Source organism: Homo sapiens, chromosome 10, assembly GCF_000001405.40.
Source record: "Homo sapiens chromosome 10, GRCh38.p14 Primary Assembly".
Lineage (NCBI taxonomy): Eukaryota > Metazoa > Chordata > Mammalia > Primates > Hominidae > Homo > Homo sapiens.
Genome location: NC_000010.11, coordinates 76305095 through 76319022, shown reverse-complemented (window position 1 = coordinate 76319022; position 13928 = coordinate 76305095). Strand labels below are relative to the sequence as shown.

Here is a 13928-nt window from a genome sequence, read left to right as displayed (position 1 = left end):
CAGGAGAATGGCGTGAGCCCAGGAGGCGGAGCTTGCAGTGAGCCGAGATCGTGCCACTCCACTCCAGCCTGGGCGACAGAGCCAGACTCTGTCTCAAACAAACAAAAAAAAAACTACATACCATGACTGTAATTCAACACGAAAGTGTGGGCCACATTGCCAGAATCCAAAAGTAAAGACTTGCCATCTTCTGAAGGATTAAGTTAGAGAAACTAAAGAACCAGGTAGAAGGCTGAAGCTTCCCACCCCTCTCACAGATTAAGGTGCCATGCCTTTCAGTAAAGCAAGAGAGAAGGTGTCACTGACAGACAGATTAAGTTGGGAATAATAGACAGGTTTGAAAGCAGGAACAGCCATATCCTGTCTAGAGCCAGAAGCCAAGAAATTGGGAGGAAAACAAAAGGCAAGGTAGGGATGAGGGTGAGTCTGGAACCAAGAGACCAAGAAAAAGATCCCAATGGAGAAGAGGTCAGAGTCTGGGCAAATGCTGAGCATGAAGCTGAGCGAGGGAGCTGAAGGGTAATTCAAGTAAGAAGCTGGTCACAGCAGAGGCTGGTGGGGAGGGGAGGATTATGTCAAAAACCTCTCTGGAATAAGAAAGCCTTTTGAAGGCAATGGCCCAGAGCTTCCCATTTGTTTCTATCTGATCTACAGGGGGCCCAGTTCTGCCAGTGCCCACAGTGGCATCTGGCCCAGAGTAGCAGTTCACAAATATTTATGAAAGGCAGGGAAGGAAAAAGAAAAGGAGGGAGGGAGGAGGAGAACTACGAAAGGAAAAAAGGAAGGAAGGGCTGTGGCTTGGGCATTTTATGGGCTATTACATAACTAATTCAATCACAGAATGTAAGAGTTGTTAAAGATCTTACAAATCATCTAGAGCAGTGGTTCCAAAATATTTTTAGCAGACACTTATATAACAGAAGACAAAAATAAAACCATCTAAATATTGGACATTATAGAAGTGATCATAATTTCTTTTGGTAACCTAATACAACTGTAAGTACAAAGGAGAGAGAAATATGCAAAGATATTAATTACCTAGCATTAAGTCAACATGGTAAACATTAAAATAATACATAGGTTGTGGTTTTTAACTACATAAAATTAGGAATAAGTAGTAGTTAATAAGTAAAGATAGAAAGATTTTTGGGCCAGGCACAGTAGCTCACATCCGTAATCCCAGCACTTTGGGAGGCTGAGGCAGGTGGATCACCTGAGGTCAGGAGTCTGAGATCCACCTGACCAATATGGTGAAACCTTGTCTCTACTAAAAGTACAAAAATTAGCTGGGTGTGGTGGCGGGCACCTGTAGTTCCAGTTACTTGGTAGGCTAAGACAGGAGAATTGCCTGAACCCGGGAGGCAGAGGTTGCAGTGAGCTGAGAATGTGCCACTGCACTCCAGCCTGGGTGACAGAGAGAGACTCCATCTCAAAAACTAAATCAATAAATTTTTGCTAGCAATGTGATTAAGGATGTTTGGAGTTGTAAACTTTATTTAACATATAATTACTTCTTATAATTTACAATATTTAGAATTTAAAACACTACTCATATACAATGGCTGATACGAAATAATGCCTAGTCCATCAAATATTTTTCAATCTGTCCTATCAGAGGTTGAGGAGAGATGAAAAAAGGGAGGAAAAATACGAGTTGAGGAAAAAGAAGGAGATGGTAAAGAAAGGAGGCAAAGTGTGTGACAGGATTTAATATTTCTTGAATATATGGTAAACGCTAATGGTTATCCAATGTATGAGATATGTCCTATATTCCTCTCATTTGAAAAATGAAAAAAACTGACACTTAGGAAAGATCAGTAACATGTACAAGGCTATCCAGTTCTAAAGTCCAGAGTGTGATTAGAAACCAAATCAGCCTGACTCCTAAAGCCCAAACTGTTTCCGTAGCCCCACACTCTCTCTGCATTGGAGCCCTCAGGTTTTCATGATGCCCTTCTCCTGACCATTACTCTATTCTCCCCTGCTTCACTGTCCACTGGGCACCTGTCTCTTTTGCAAGATGGTAGGGGCCAGTCCTAATTTGACAGTGAATGCCTTGCAGCACCTAACAGGACAACTTCTCAAAGCATTGAGACAAGATTATCAAATGAGAAGGAATTTACTAATAGCATGGGTAGTTTTAATAAGGGCAGAATATCCTATCTACAAACAAATAATTATCTTTATCCAAAGAAGTATGATGGAGCACAAATTAATAGTTTGCTGCTAATTAATTCTTGCTGAAGATTTAGTTTGTGTCATATATTCAAACATAGAACATAATCAGAATGTAATGTAATATAACCTCCAAGTAATGTGGGTGTGTGTACATCACATTTCTGGCATTAATTATATGCAGGCATTTTATAAACATTGTTTCATTTAACCCTCTCAATAGCCTTATAATGCAAGTGTCACAGGATCCTTAGGGTGTCAGTTTTCTAGTCAGAAATGTCTGTGGCCCGTGGCGCCTTTGCCTGAGTTTTGCTTAGCCTCACTGGGCTCATTCCACACACTTGGCCCAGCAGGCTGCGCTCAGCTGGCACTACCGGCCCAGATCCCACATCTGTCAAGGGTGAGCCAGGCATGGAGTGGCAAGGGGTGTGTGAGTGAGCACGGGGTTCGGCCACAGCGCACGGCCAGGTGTGCTGGCTGCGGTGGGGCAGGCAGCTCCAAGTGCCAGTATAGGCGCTGGCTCCAAGAGAGGCTGCATCTGGACCAGGCGTCCTGCAAGTAGCTTCCACCATGGGCACCAGGGAATGCTGTGGTGCCTGGAAGCTGGGAGACGCCAGGAACCACAGAGCCCTAAAGAGGGCGTCACAGCCCTGACTTGGAGAGCCCCTAGGTCTGGGCTCCCTGAAGGGCCACAGCTCTTCTCCTTCTCATTACCTGCAACGTGTTAGGCGGAGAGGCGTGTTTCAGCCCTGTTTGTGTTAAATCTCTTTTAGTCTGGCCATTGGCGGATCTTGAGTTCCTGTCCTGCATCCAGGAAGAATGAGGTACGTGGACAACTGGAAGGTGAGCAAGGCAGGGAGGAGCTTCACTGAGCAACAGAATAGCTCTCAGAAGACCCACAGTGTGTATGTAGCTCCTTTCTGCAGGCAGGTCATTGGAGTGGGGAGGGTGTCTATGGGCTCAAAGGGAGGAAGTGAGTGCTGATTGGTCCATGGGCTGCCATGGGCCAGCCGGAAAAAGCATCATAAATTCTCACTCCAGGAGGGGGACTCCACCCGGCACTGGCAGCCCGGCCCCCAGGCTTCAAGCCATCCCTGGCTTGAAGGTGGGGTTTCACTGGGCACCCACCCCCTTCCGCCCAGGGACCTGTCTGCCTTCCACGTTGCCCAGGCTGTTCACGTTGAGGGGTGTCTACAGGCCCGCAGGGAGCTGCCCTCAGCACCCCCTGGGCTGCTGCTTCCTGCGCTCACTGACGCCCAAAGTCTGGAGGGGGCCAAGGCAGCAGGGGGCGCTAGCGTGTGAGTGCTGCCCTGAGTGCACGCAAACGCAGCTGAGTCACGACAGCCCTCGGGCTTGGCCACAACTTTGCTCTGCACTGGAGTGGGCACCGGGAGCAGGGAGAGGCCCGGGAGCAGGAGCAGGCACTTCCAAGCCCGCTGGGGCAGGGGCTTCCCAGGCCCCTGAGAGCACAGGGATGCCAGGGTCCAGAGTGCGGCTGGGAAGCTGCAGCTGCACCAAGGAGTGCGGGCTCCCGCCCCTTCAACTGGTTAGGGGGTGGGGCTCTTGTCTGTTCCTGGCTCCCACCAGCCCTTCCTGCCCCACTGAAGCTAATCTTCGAAGCGGCTGCTCCAGACAGGCCGCCGCTGCCATCACAAGTACCATTAACATTACCACTTTATAGGTAAGGCAGTTGAGATTTAGAGAGAGGTTATAGTACTAGTCCAAGAAAACCCAGCTAGTATGTGGAGACCGGAATTGAGAAATAACACAGCTCGATTCCATAGCCTGAATCCTAAGCACTGTACAATGAACTTGATGTTCAAAGGTGCCTGGCAAAGAAAACCCTCCTAGGCTTATTTAGTGCACATACAAAGGTAGGTAATATATTGGTAGTGAGATATGAATCAACTCATGGTAATATGCAACACGTTTTGTGGCGTGCTAAGTAAATAAAACTATCAACTTATTTAATAATACATGAAAGAATTAGCTGTGCGATGTAGACAAATTAGTGTTTCAGATCTCTTTGGCCTTTTGGGTTCAAATAACCAGTGGTGTGTAAGTGTTAACCTGTACTGGCTTACAAGAAGTAATTATTAAGGTTTCAGCAACTTTGGTCAGTTGTTAAACACAGGTATTATTTAAAATTATATACACTTAAACTTGAATAAATTACCTTATTTAACAAGACTCCTCACTTCTTAATTATTTTACAAAATTTTACTGTTATTTATGCTCTTGAAATTGAGTCTACTGAATTTGTATGATAAAAATACTATATAATGATGTGCAGTCACTTTCCAACTCTTCAGTGATGGCACTTTGTAGTTTGACATTGGCCACTGTGGGAGTATTTGCAGCAGAAACTGGCAAATGCTGCAAGTGAGAGCTTGATTCATTGGTGTGCTTATTTGCTAAACTTAAAGTGATGGAGAAAATGTTAATGTTGCAGATAGAACCTAAAAGAATGTTGTGTGACTGGGCACGATGGCTCACACCTGTAATCCTAGTACTTTGGGAGGCCAAGGTAGGCAGATCACTTGAGCCCAGGAGTTGGAGACCAACCATGAGCAACATGGCAAAATTCCATTTCTTAAAAACAACAACAAAAAAAGGATGTTGTGTCGTAGCCTAATGGTAGCAAAATATTAACTTGTGCTCCATACCTCTTTGGCTAAATATAATTGCTTATTTATAGATAGGATGTTCTGCCTTTATAAAAATTACCTGTGGTATTAGTATATTCCTTCTCATTTAATAATCTTTTCTTAATTCTTTGAGAAGTTGCTTTGTTGGGTATTGCAAGGCATTGTGAATAGCACAAAAAAATTGAAAAAATATTCTTCCAATATTCAAAAACTATTATCCAGTTCAGCAAAGTAGTTTCTTATGTCATTAACAAATGAGTAAAGTTCTGACATACTCATTAAGATAAAGGAATATCAAGTGGGAACTACAGTTGTTCATCAGTTGCAACCACAGATACGAGATACAAGAGTTTGGCCAAAATCATTGAAAGTATCTGTGACAATTAAGTGATTGTATGGAATTTTTTAGAAACAGTATTATATATTCAATTGTTATTTACTTTTAATTGTGTTCTACACATCATTTATATAACTAAAAAATGCAATATATTATATATGCATGTGTATACACACACACTTTTTTTCCCAGAGACTTGGCTGTTAAGCATTTACCTACACACCACTACATATAACACTTTTCAACTAGCTTCTAAAGTATGTTTCAGGCAATGGAGAAAGGGCTATTTTATAGTCTAGGAATGGAAAGAACAGTAAGAAAAATAACTAAGCTTCAAGGATTCTGTTCTTGACTAATTCACAATTTGTATATTGTTTAACTCTCTGTTTTCTGTGCTCTGATGCCTTATTGATCAAGATTTAGAGCCAGGCTCCATCTTGGGCAATTGACTTAAACTCTTTAAGCCACATTTTGACTAACAGTGATAATGGTAATAATAGTCACAATCATGATAATGATAGTTTAAAAATGCTAACGTTTATTAGCATTTTTAATTAGTACTTACTTTGTGTCGAGAACTGCGTTAAACACTTTCCATGTATTGATTTATTCAATCTTCACAAAGTTTCACGAGGAGTCACAACTCCTAGTTCTGTTTTACAGATGAGGAAGCCGAGGACCAGAGAAATTAAGTCCCCTGACAAAGCTCTCACTTAAGTTCTTGGGTAACTACTCCTTGGCAGAGCTGGGACACAAATCCAGGCAGTTTGCCTCCAGTTGCTGCTGTCTTGGCAATTACAATGTTATGCTGCCTCCCTTCCCAATAAAGGTAAATGTTAAATAAGGGTAAGAAACAACCATCTTAGCCACTGCTCATGGATGTTAGCTATGATTTATTCTTACTTCACTCTAATTTTGTTTAATATCTTATCTCTTCAACTGGACTTTAAGTTTCTTGAGAGGTAAAGCTCATGTTGTATAGCTTTTTCTGCCCTTCACAGTAGCCATGACAGAGACATGCCCATATTTCATAATTAAATAGGCATTATATGAATTAATTTTGCTTCTCACTTGTCAAGCAGAAGAGCACTACTGAGATCCCTTCTGGGAGCAAAAATTGTGAGATCCCTAGCTTCATTATAATCCGAATTCATCCATCAATTCACTGCATTATTGTGATGCTCTAACAACATTTAGATGGTCTCATCTAACTCAGACGAGAAGGCTACACGTGGCATATCTCAACTGGGTTTGTAGGACTGTCTTAAAAATGATATTATGTCATGGTAGTCCTAAGGGCTTGATTTATTTTGGCTTAAAAGAAGGAACTTGCCTCATGTGTCTCTTTTCCTCTCACGGAGGTTTTTTTTAATCTTGAGGGCTACGGGTCAAGTTCTGTCCTTGGAACCAAAGTACTTTTCCAAAATGAGTTGAAGCCAGCTCTGTCAGGCTAGGCCAGATCTGCTGTCAGTGCCTTTCCCAAATACATCAGACCCTCTGCTTGTAAAAATAAATTGATACCAATGCAAGAAATTTATTAGGAGATGACAGCCCAGTTCATAATGGAAATATGGAGAAAATATCATCCTTCAAAACTGACAGTTTATCCATCATGCCTCAGATTCCTGAGATATAAGCAGACACTGTCACATGCAATCAGCTGAGGACACATCTTGGATTTCCTTATGACAGGAAACTCTGATATAATCCAGAAGTAGGGAAGGACTCGCACTGCCCTTAATGTGCTCAGCCATAAATTTTTAGCATTAGCAGGAGAAACATGTAGCCAAGGAAATGAATGATGGGGGAAATCAGGAGGCCTGGGATTCTCAAAGGCCTCTTCTTTTCTCTTGGGGATGATGAACTAGGGATAGGGGTCAGAGAGGGTTACTGCACCACCATGAGGGACATCAATACCCTGTTATGTGTAAGCAGAGCCAACAGGTGGCAGGGCACCACTGCATACATACCACAGTCTGCTCTGTGTGAGGTTTGGGGACCTGGTCATCTTGCCCTGCTAACTGTTCAACTGTGGCTATTTTGCTTAGCTTCTTATTTATATTAATGAACTTGAGACAATTTAAGAGGGCCATTTTAATTAGGAGTAAATGCAAGTATATTTGTGGGGATCACAAGAGGCCTGATCTTTGCAGGCTTAATGAGGCGACCTACCCAACCCCATATGAAATAATTGTGTATTGTATTAAAAGCCGCTTTGGAAAATATAATCGTGGTAGTAAATTGGAATGAAATGAACATGGTATTAAAGGGGGAAAAATATTTACTGCCAATTTTATGGGGCCTTAAAATATTTATGTTTTAAACTTGCATTCTTTGGAGATTTGCTGAGTGTTGCTAGAGCTGGGAAACTTTTTTAATGAGATACGTGCATATTTTTCAAATTTACAGATCTTTTTTCACAAAAATAGAAAGTCATAAATGTGAAATGGAAACCTAAACAAGGCAAGTGCAGCCTTAATGGCCTTAGATTCTTAATTGACTCTTCATATTAGAAAAAATTAAAAGCACAGGAAATTTCATTTAAATGTGTGAATAATATGCAAGGAACTTTTGTTTTATGTCAGTTTCTATCCGATTAAAGTACAGAGCATTAGCATAAATGTGATAACCCAAATAAACTTGAGTTTTGCTGCATTTATGTTAAGTGGGCATGAATAGGATACGTGTGCATTCTTGGGTTACTTAAAAACAGAGTCAAATACTGGCTTTTGTTCTGCTTCCCAAATGAATCTCTAAGAACAGCAGGGAAATAAATTACATGTTGATCAAGTCTTTATTTCTTTATTCATAGGTACCAGGGGTTGAAAAAAAAATGCAAGTGAGTCTATAGTTCTCAGACACTGAATCCCTCTTTAAATGCTCTCACTCTTTGCAAGAGGCAAATGAACTTCTAATTGTTCACATTTGTTTCAGCCAATCTTCCTGATTCCCTTTCTCATGAAAGACCTAAAACTCTGTTGACTTTACATGTCCAAATTAAATATATCTGTGTTTTCCTTTTGCTTTCAATAAGAGTGCATGCCAGCATGACTTAACATTCATCCAGAGTTTATTTCAATATTAGTGGAAAACAAGCCATTTTTCAGTTTAATGAATAGCATCAGTGTCTCCCTTTTAACCAAAAATATGGCCTTAAACTTGATGGATCTCACCAGAAGGCACATTTTCAAATTATTTTTCTATTGGAGGTTATGAATATCGTTTCCCAAATTATTGTGACAGCTGTGAGGGGAAAGCCTGCATCACAGATACAGCAGCTTAGAAACAAAACTCAGACCTAACAAAATGGTAGTTTCCTTTGTGAAATGAGAAAAGGGGAATGGAAAAGGAAGCATGAACCGCATGGGAGGGAAAAAATACCTCTTTTGAGACTTATGCAACAGGAGAAGAGTCATGTAAAGGCCCTGAAATTCCCATACTTTTTTTGTTACTACCATTTTTGTTTCCCAATCATTCTAAATTGGGAAGGTAAAGGCTGAGCATTACTGATTCAAAAAACCTCCAAGAGGACATCTGATATTTCTTCCTTATTAAGGATGATGGAGTGTAATTGATGTGCCTGGAGCCTGGCCAATTCCAACTTTTTTGAGAATGCCGCTTAATGTGCGGACATTATTTTTGGACTACTGAACGCCAGAAAATAATGAGCTGGCATTCAGCTTTGGTGAATAAGACCCTGAATTTTCATCTAAAAGCAGTTTTGAGTTATTGCTGTAGATAAGGTGTAACTGTGCAAGGGAATTTTATCCATGTTTCTCCCATGAATCATAAATGAGGAAAAAAATTACAGTCTAAATTGCACTTAAAAGGAATAAAGTCTTTTCATGTCATACATGATTTATCAAAATGATCTCATTTTAAGGGTACTGTGGTGTATCTTGATTAATCGCATTAGGAAGCGTGATGAATGGCCTCTTTAATGGTAACACAGGATTTATTGGCAGCATCCAGACTTGAACCAGAAGGGTAAGAAGTAAAACATACAACAGATAGCTAATGCAGATAGGATGTCAGTAATGCGCTGGCTTGTTGTAAAATTATACCAGGAGCCTTAGTTTCAGGAGCTTCTGAAACTGCCAGAGGGTGGACAGCAAACAAGTTTTGTACAGGACCTTGGGTGCCACCTCAAATCCAGTCTGACCCTCCCCTAACTTGTTGCAATGCAAGTAAAATCTCTCTGCTGGACTGTAAAAATAAGGTGTCTGTGAAATCTGGGCAAAACTTGGAAATTCCTAGTAATAAGAGGGAGACACCCGCCTTTCAAGATCAGCGCTCCTTGCCCTTTTGCCCTATTTTAATATCCTCTTCACATTTCGCTTTAATATCCTAAATGCCTTTTTTTAAGCCTGCTCGAGTCTGCTCCCACTAATTTCCTCTAAGGCTGACAGATCAGAGGCTTTCCTCGAACTGTTCCTTTTGGAGCTGAGAAGCCCTCCTCGTAATCCTGCTGCTTGTCCGCAATTAATCCTTCCAGTTGCCTCATTATTACCTCCACCACCCACAGACAGAGGAAGCTCTGACCCACTGGACACTGGCTCCTGACTGAAGCTTCAAAGGTGCCAATCACACCCTCATCAGAAAGGTGCCTGCTGTCAGCATCAGAGGTTTTCATCCCCTCCTCCCCGCTGATCAAACATTCTTCCTCAGAAGATTAATTCAGAGTCCCCGCCCATTTCCTCCCATATCCTCTTTCCCTTTTTGGTTTACCCAATGATCCATCTTTGCCTCGAAAAGGGAAGCCACGGATAATAGAAGTCCTTTCAAAACAAAAGCTGGGCAAAGGCAAATTTAAATCCCAGCTGTTATCAACTTTTTTTTTTTTAACCCATTTAAACATCTTAAGGCAGTGAGGATTAGGGACTGGCCTGAAATGCCATTCTTTGATCAAAGACCCCAAGACTTTACACAAACATAATCACAAGGCAATGGATGCCCCTCTGAAGGCTGAATTGATTTGTTTGACTGCAGCGCCTGGGATGGTAGAGAAGCCGCACACTGACTTTCCTAACTCCCAACATATATGTCACCAGGCCAAGTGACTTAGAAATTATATTTCTTTTCTTCCTGTGTCTTAATTGGAGCCGTCACTTTCAGATTCAGACAGAACTATGGGGAGAGGTTTTGAGGAGAAGAAAATGTGAGCCATATGGGTGCTTGCTATGGCTTCTCCATCCCCAGGCTGGGAGGAGAGAGGTGAGAGCAGGAGAGAGATTGGTGAGAAAGCAGCAGCCCCATGGTCTCTGATGTGTAGCAAAGGTGACTTCACAGAGAAGGACCTGGGTTTAGATTGGCTGGTTCTACTGGAATCTTCTCCATCTCCTCCAGTCACTGGGTAACTGCAGTTACCTGTCTCGGTCCATGGAAGTAGTCTTGGGAGGGGAAACAAGCACGGCCTTTCCTGGGGCCAGTGAACAGCCACCATGTGGCTCCCTATCCATCTTCGTCTTTCAGGACCAGATGCCAGGATGAAACCACAGGAAAACCTTCAAGATATGCTTGTGAGATCGCTGCTATGACAAATTCTCATGGCTCACTAGTGTTGACACTTGCCATACATATCTACAGGTAGATCATTTCAAAGTTGCATAATAAAGACAGTATTTAAAGAGAAGGTTGAAGGGACCATTGAAAATTGATGTTCAAGTAGATGAAGGTGTCTTTGGAAGGAGTAGACTAATCAAAATTTTGTTCCTGGGTTTGAGGATTTTTTGATTTGGGGAGAGGGCAAGTAGGGTTGGTTTGTTATTTACATTACAGAGAGACTGTCAGAAAATGAAATTTAAGTCACACACAATTAAGAATTCTTGACCAAAATGACTCTATGGGGACCACTTGCTACATTTCCAGGGTAAGTTGTAGAATCTCCCTTGTTGAACAGTTCAGGAAAATAAGATTATCCTTTTGATGGTAAGTCATGAAATCCACCTCAAAGTGCTTTAAGTTTAAAAAGAGGAGCAGGGGGCTTTAATGAGCTCAAGGTATATGGTTTCATATACGGTTAGATCCAGGTGTTCAAACTTCTCATCAGAAATTTCTATCTCAGCTTTGTTTCTTGGTTTCTCCACGTGGTGGCCTCCCAGGAGCCCCCCACATCTGTACCTCACCATCTTCAAAGACAAAAGAAAGAGTTTCTCTTTCCTGTAAGTTCCAACAAAATCTGGGAATCCGTGGCCTGCTTTGGGTTATGTGCCTATCCTGGAAAGAATCTCCTCACCCATGAGAAAGAACCCTCTACCTGATTGAGCCTGGCTCCTGTGCCACTCCTAGTGCTGAGAGAGCAGCTGGCCCCATCAGACCACTATTGATTAAGGGTGGTCACATGGTGGTTCCACAGAGTTAGGTCTATCCCAGAATACAGTGTAGTGGACACCAAAGAGGCCAAAAGGGCAAATTCCCCTTCGAAAGCAGACGACCTCCTGTGTAAGTCTTCAGGAGCCCCTCACTGCATCCCAGACATTCAAAACATCTCATCATTATCTTTAGGCCAAACTGAACTCATTATGCAGTGGCTCAATCCTGACATCAACATCAACAAAAGGCCTCCACCTCCAGAAAACCCTCCCCACGAGGTCTTGCAGATATCATAAAGTTTATACCTTTCAGGATCTTAGTTGACATCAGGCAGGTTTATCATACAATTTTATTCTTCTAAGCTTTGGTATCCCACAGAAGATTAAAAACAGCCACAGGCATCTAAATAGAGCAACATGAGGGGTGGGCAAGGGTAGCTGCTGGGGTCACAGTATGACATGGAAAAAGAAACAACCACAAAAAGCTAGACTAAGAGCTGAACCACAAGATGCTGCAACAGACCTCTGAAATGATGACACCCCAGGCTTCCTCCACTCCTCCACACATATATATGTCAACAGGATAAAGTTAAACTCAGTGTGGTATGTTCTGTTTAAGTGAGGAGTAATACAGTATATTTAATTACTAATTAGCATGTGTCAAGCAACTACTGGTATCAATTCTGGGAATGAGACATCATACACATTTTGTCCACACATTAAACAGATAATACCACAAGAGAATATGTGACCAGTACAAAAGAGTAGCACGAGGAAGTCCTCTGGGAACAACAGTCTAAAAAGTTTTAATTTTGACATATGCAAACCTCAAAGGTATGGGAAAATTAATTCTAATGTGCATCTCTCATTTTCCAAAAGCATTTCCCCATTACTCTATCACTCGGCCCTCTTTATCTTTCAGGCCTATTTCTAAAAGAGATGCCAAGGATGTTTGCCTTGAATATATCCAAGCCTCCAGGTTCATTGTGTTGAGGATGAGGACAATGTGTCCTGGACAGCTTAGGTAAGCCCCTGAAGATCCATGCCCCGTGTCATGTGTGACTTAGGATGTGGAACTGAAGACCTACAGACTTAGGACTAGCTGCTACACTTGAGTTTCATTTCCCCCAAGAGACCCAAAGAAAGTAGGCAGGATTCTCTGCTTAGCAATTCAACAGCACCCACTATAGCAACCAAAGGGGGATATGTACAAATGCTCTGCTAGGCTGCTAAAACTCTTCTGGGCTAGAGCCCACATGCTCTCAGTGTCTATATCAGGATAGCTAAAATCTGAAGAAGAACCATGAAGCTTGGATGCTAACATTTGGAATTCCAAAAGGGCTGCAGTATGCAAAAGTATGTGTGTATGTGTTGATTGCAGAGGAGAGGATAAGGATATAAAAAAACTCTGAGTTCCAAACCCAATCTTTCTTTGTAAAGTTAATACTAATCCTCAGCCTGTGTACCTTTCTAGATAAGAACTTAACTTTTCTAGATAAGGACTCTACATTATTAAATATTAATTTTCACAATACTAATGTGTTTATTATAAAATATAGTTAATATAGTAGATTGGAGCCAAGGGAAATGGTGGAAAATAGTTTAATAGATGGAAAGTCATTTGAGAAATAACCCCCAAAAATCTTTTCTCCTTTATTTTCTTTTTTCAAAATTTTCTGTAAATTATTCACAGAGCCGTTCTTGAAAGAGGCCTTTTTTATTTGCTTTATACTATCAATAACTGTTAACATCAAAAGTTTCATTCATCTAAACGTATACATATGTGTGAAGCTATTTCCTTGAGAGATTCCAGACCCAAATATATGATTACTACAAGAAAAATGACTAATCAAGTATCATAATCAGTAAGTCTGATGTCCTGTGCAATATTTCTAACCATTCTAGCAGCCTTATTCTCCCTGAAGCCAAAGGAAATGCAAAATTTAAGTTTATTTTCTAAAGAAACACTACCCTGTGCCCATCTTAGTCTTCAACTCTCAAACACATTGTGGTCTAGAGGGACTCAGTCACTGACAAAGTATGCATGAACCTACCCTGGGTGGGAGATCCCATTCTAGGTATATGTTTTGCTCAGGACAGTCCAATGTCCTGACCATGAAAGAAAGAAAGAGGAAGGGAGGGAGAAAAGAAAAAGAAAAAAGATGTTTTGAGGTTACTTTCCAAATGAGTTTTCATCCATTAAAACATTTTCCAACATTTTTCCTGACTCCGTTCTACCATCTACTGTCTTTTGTACCAATTATAAGATAGAAAGGGCCCAAGAAAGGGCCCACACATGCTACAAGCCCTCTTTTCTCTTATTCCATATCCAGGATTCCTAGGTTTTGAAAGGTAAACACGGCCACAGAAACTCCTCTGCTTTCTCCAGCTCCTGGGTTTATCCTGCAAGTGCACTTGCACAGACAGATTACAGAAGGGTAAGGCATGGTAGTGAGA

General features: G+C 41.6%; 1 protein-coding gene and 1 long non-coding RNA gene across 4 annotated transcripts in view; one reads left to right on the top strand and one right to left on the bottom strand.

Moving 5' to 3' along the window:
* LRMDA (leucine rich melanocyte differentiation associated) overlaps positions 1 to 13928 on the bottom strand; it is a 1128545-nt gene that overhangs the window by 241146 nt on the left and 873471 nt on the right. The gene's annotated exons all lie outside the window — the stretch shown is intronic.
* Positions 86 to 12477, top strand: LOC112268057 (uncharacterized). Its single transcript, XR_002957050.2, has 3 exons — positions 86 to 408; positions 2949 to 3018; positions 12394 to 12477. It is a non-coding gene; the product is annotated as an uncharacterized LOC112268057 (long non-coding RNA).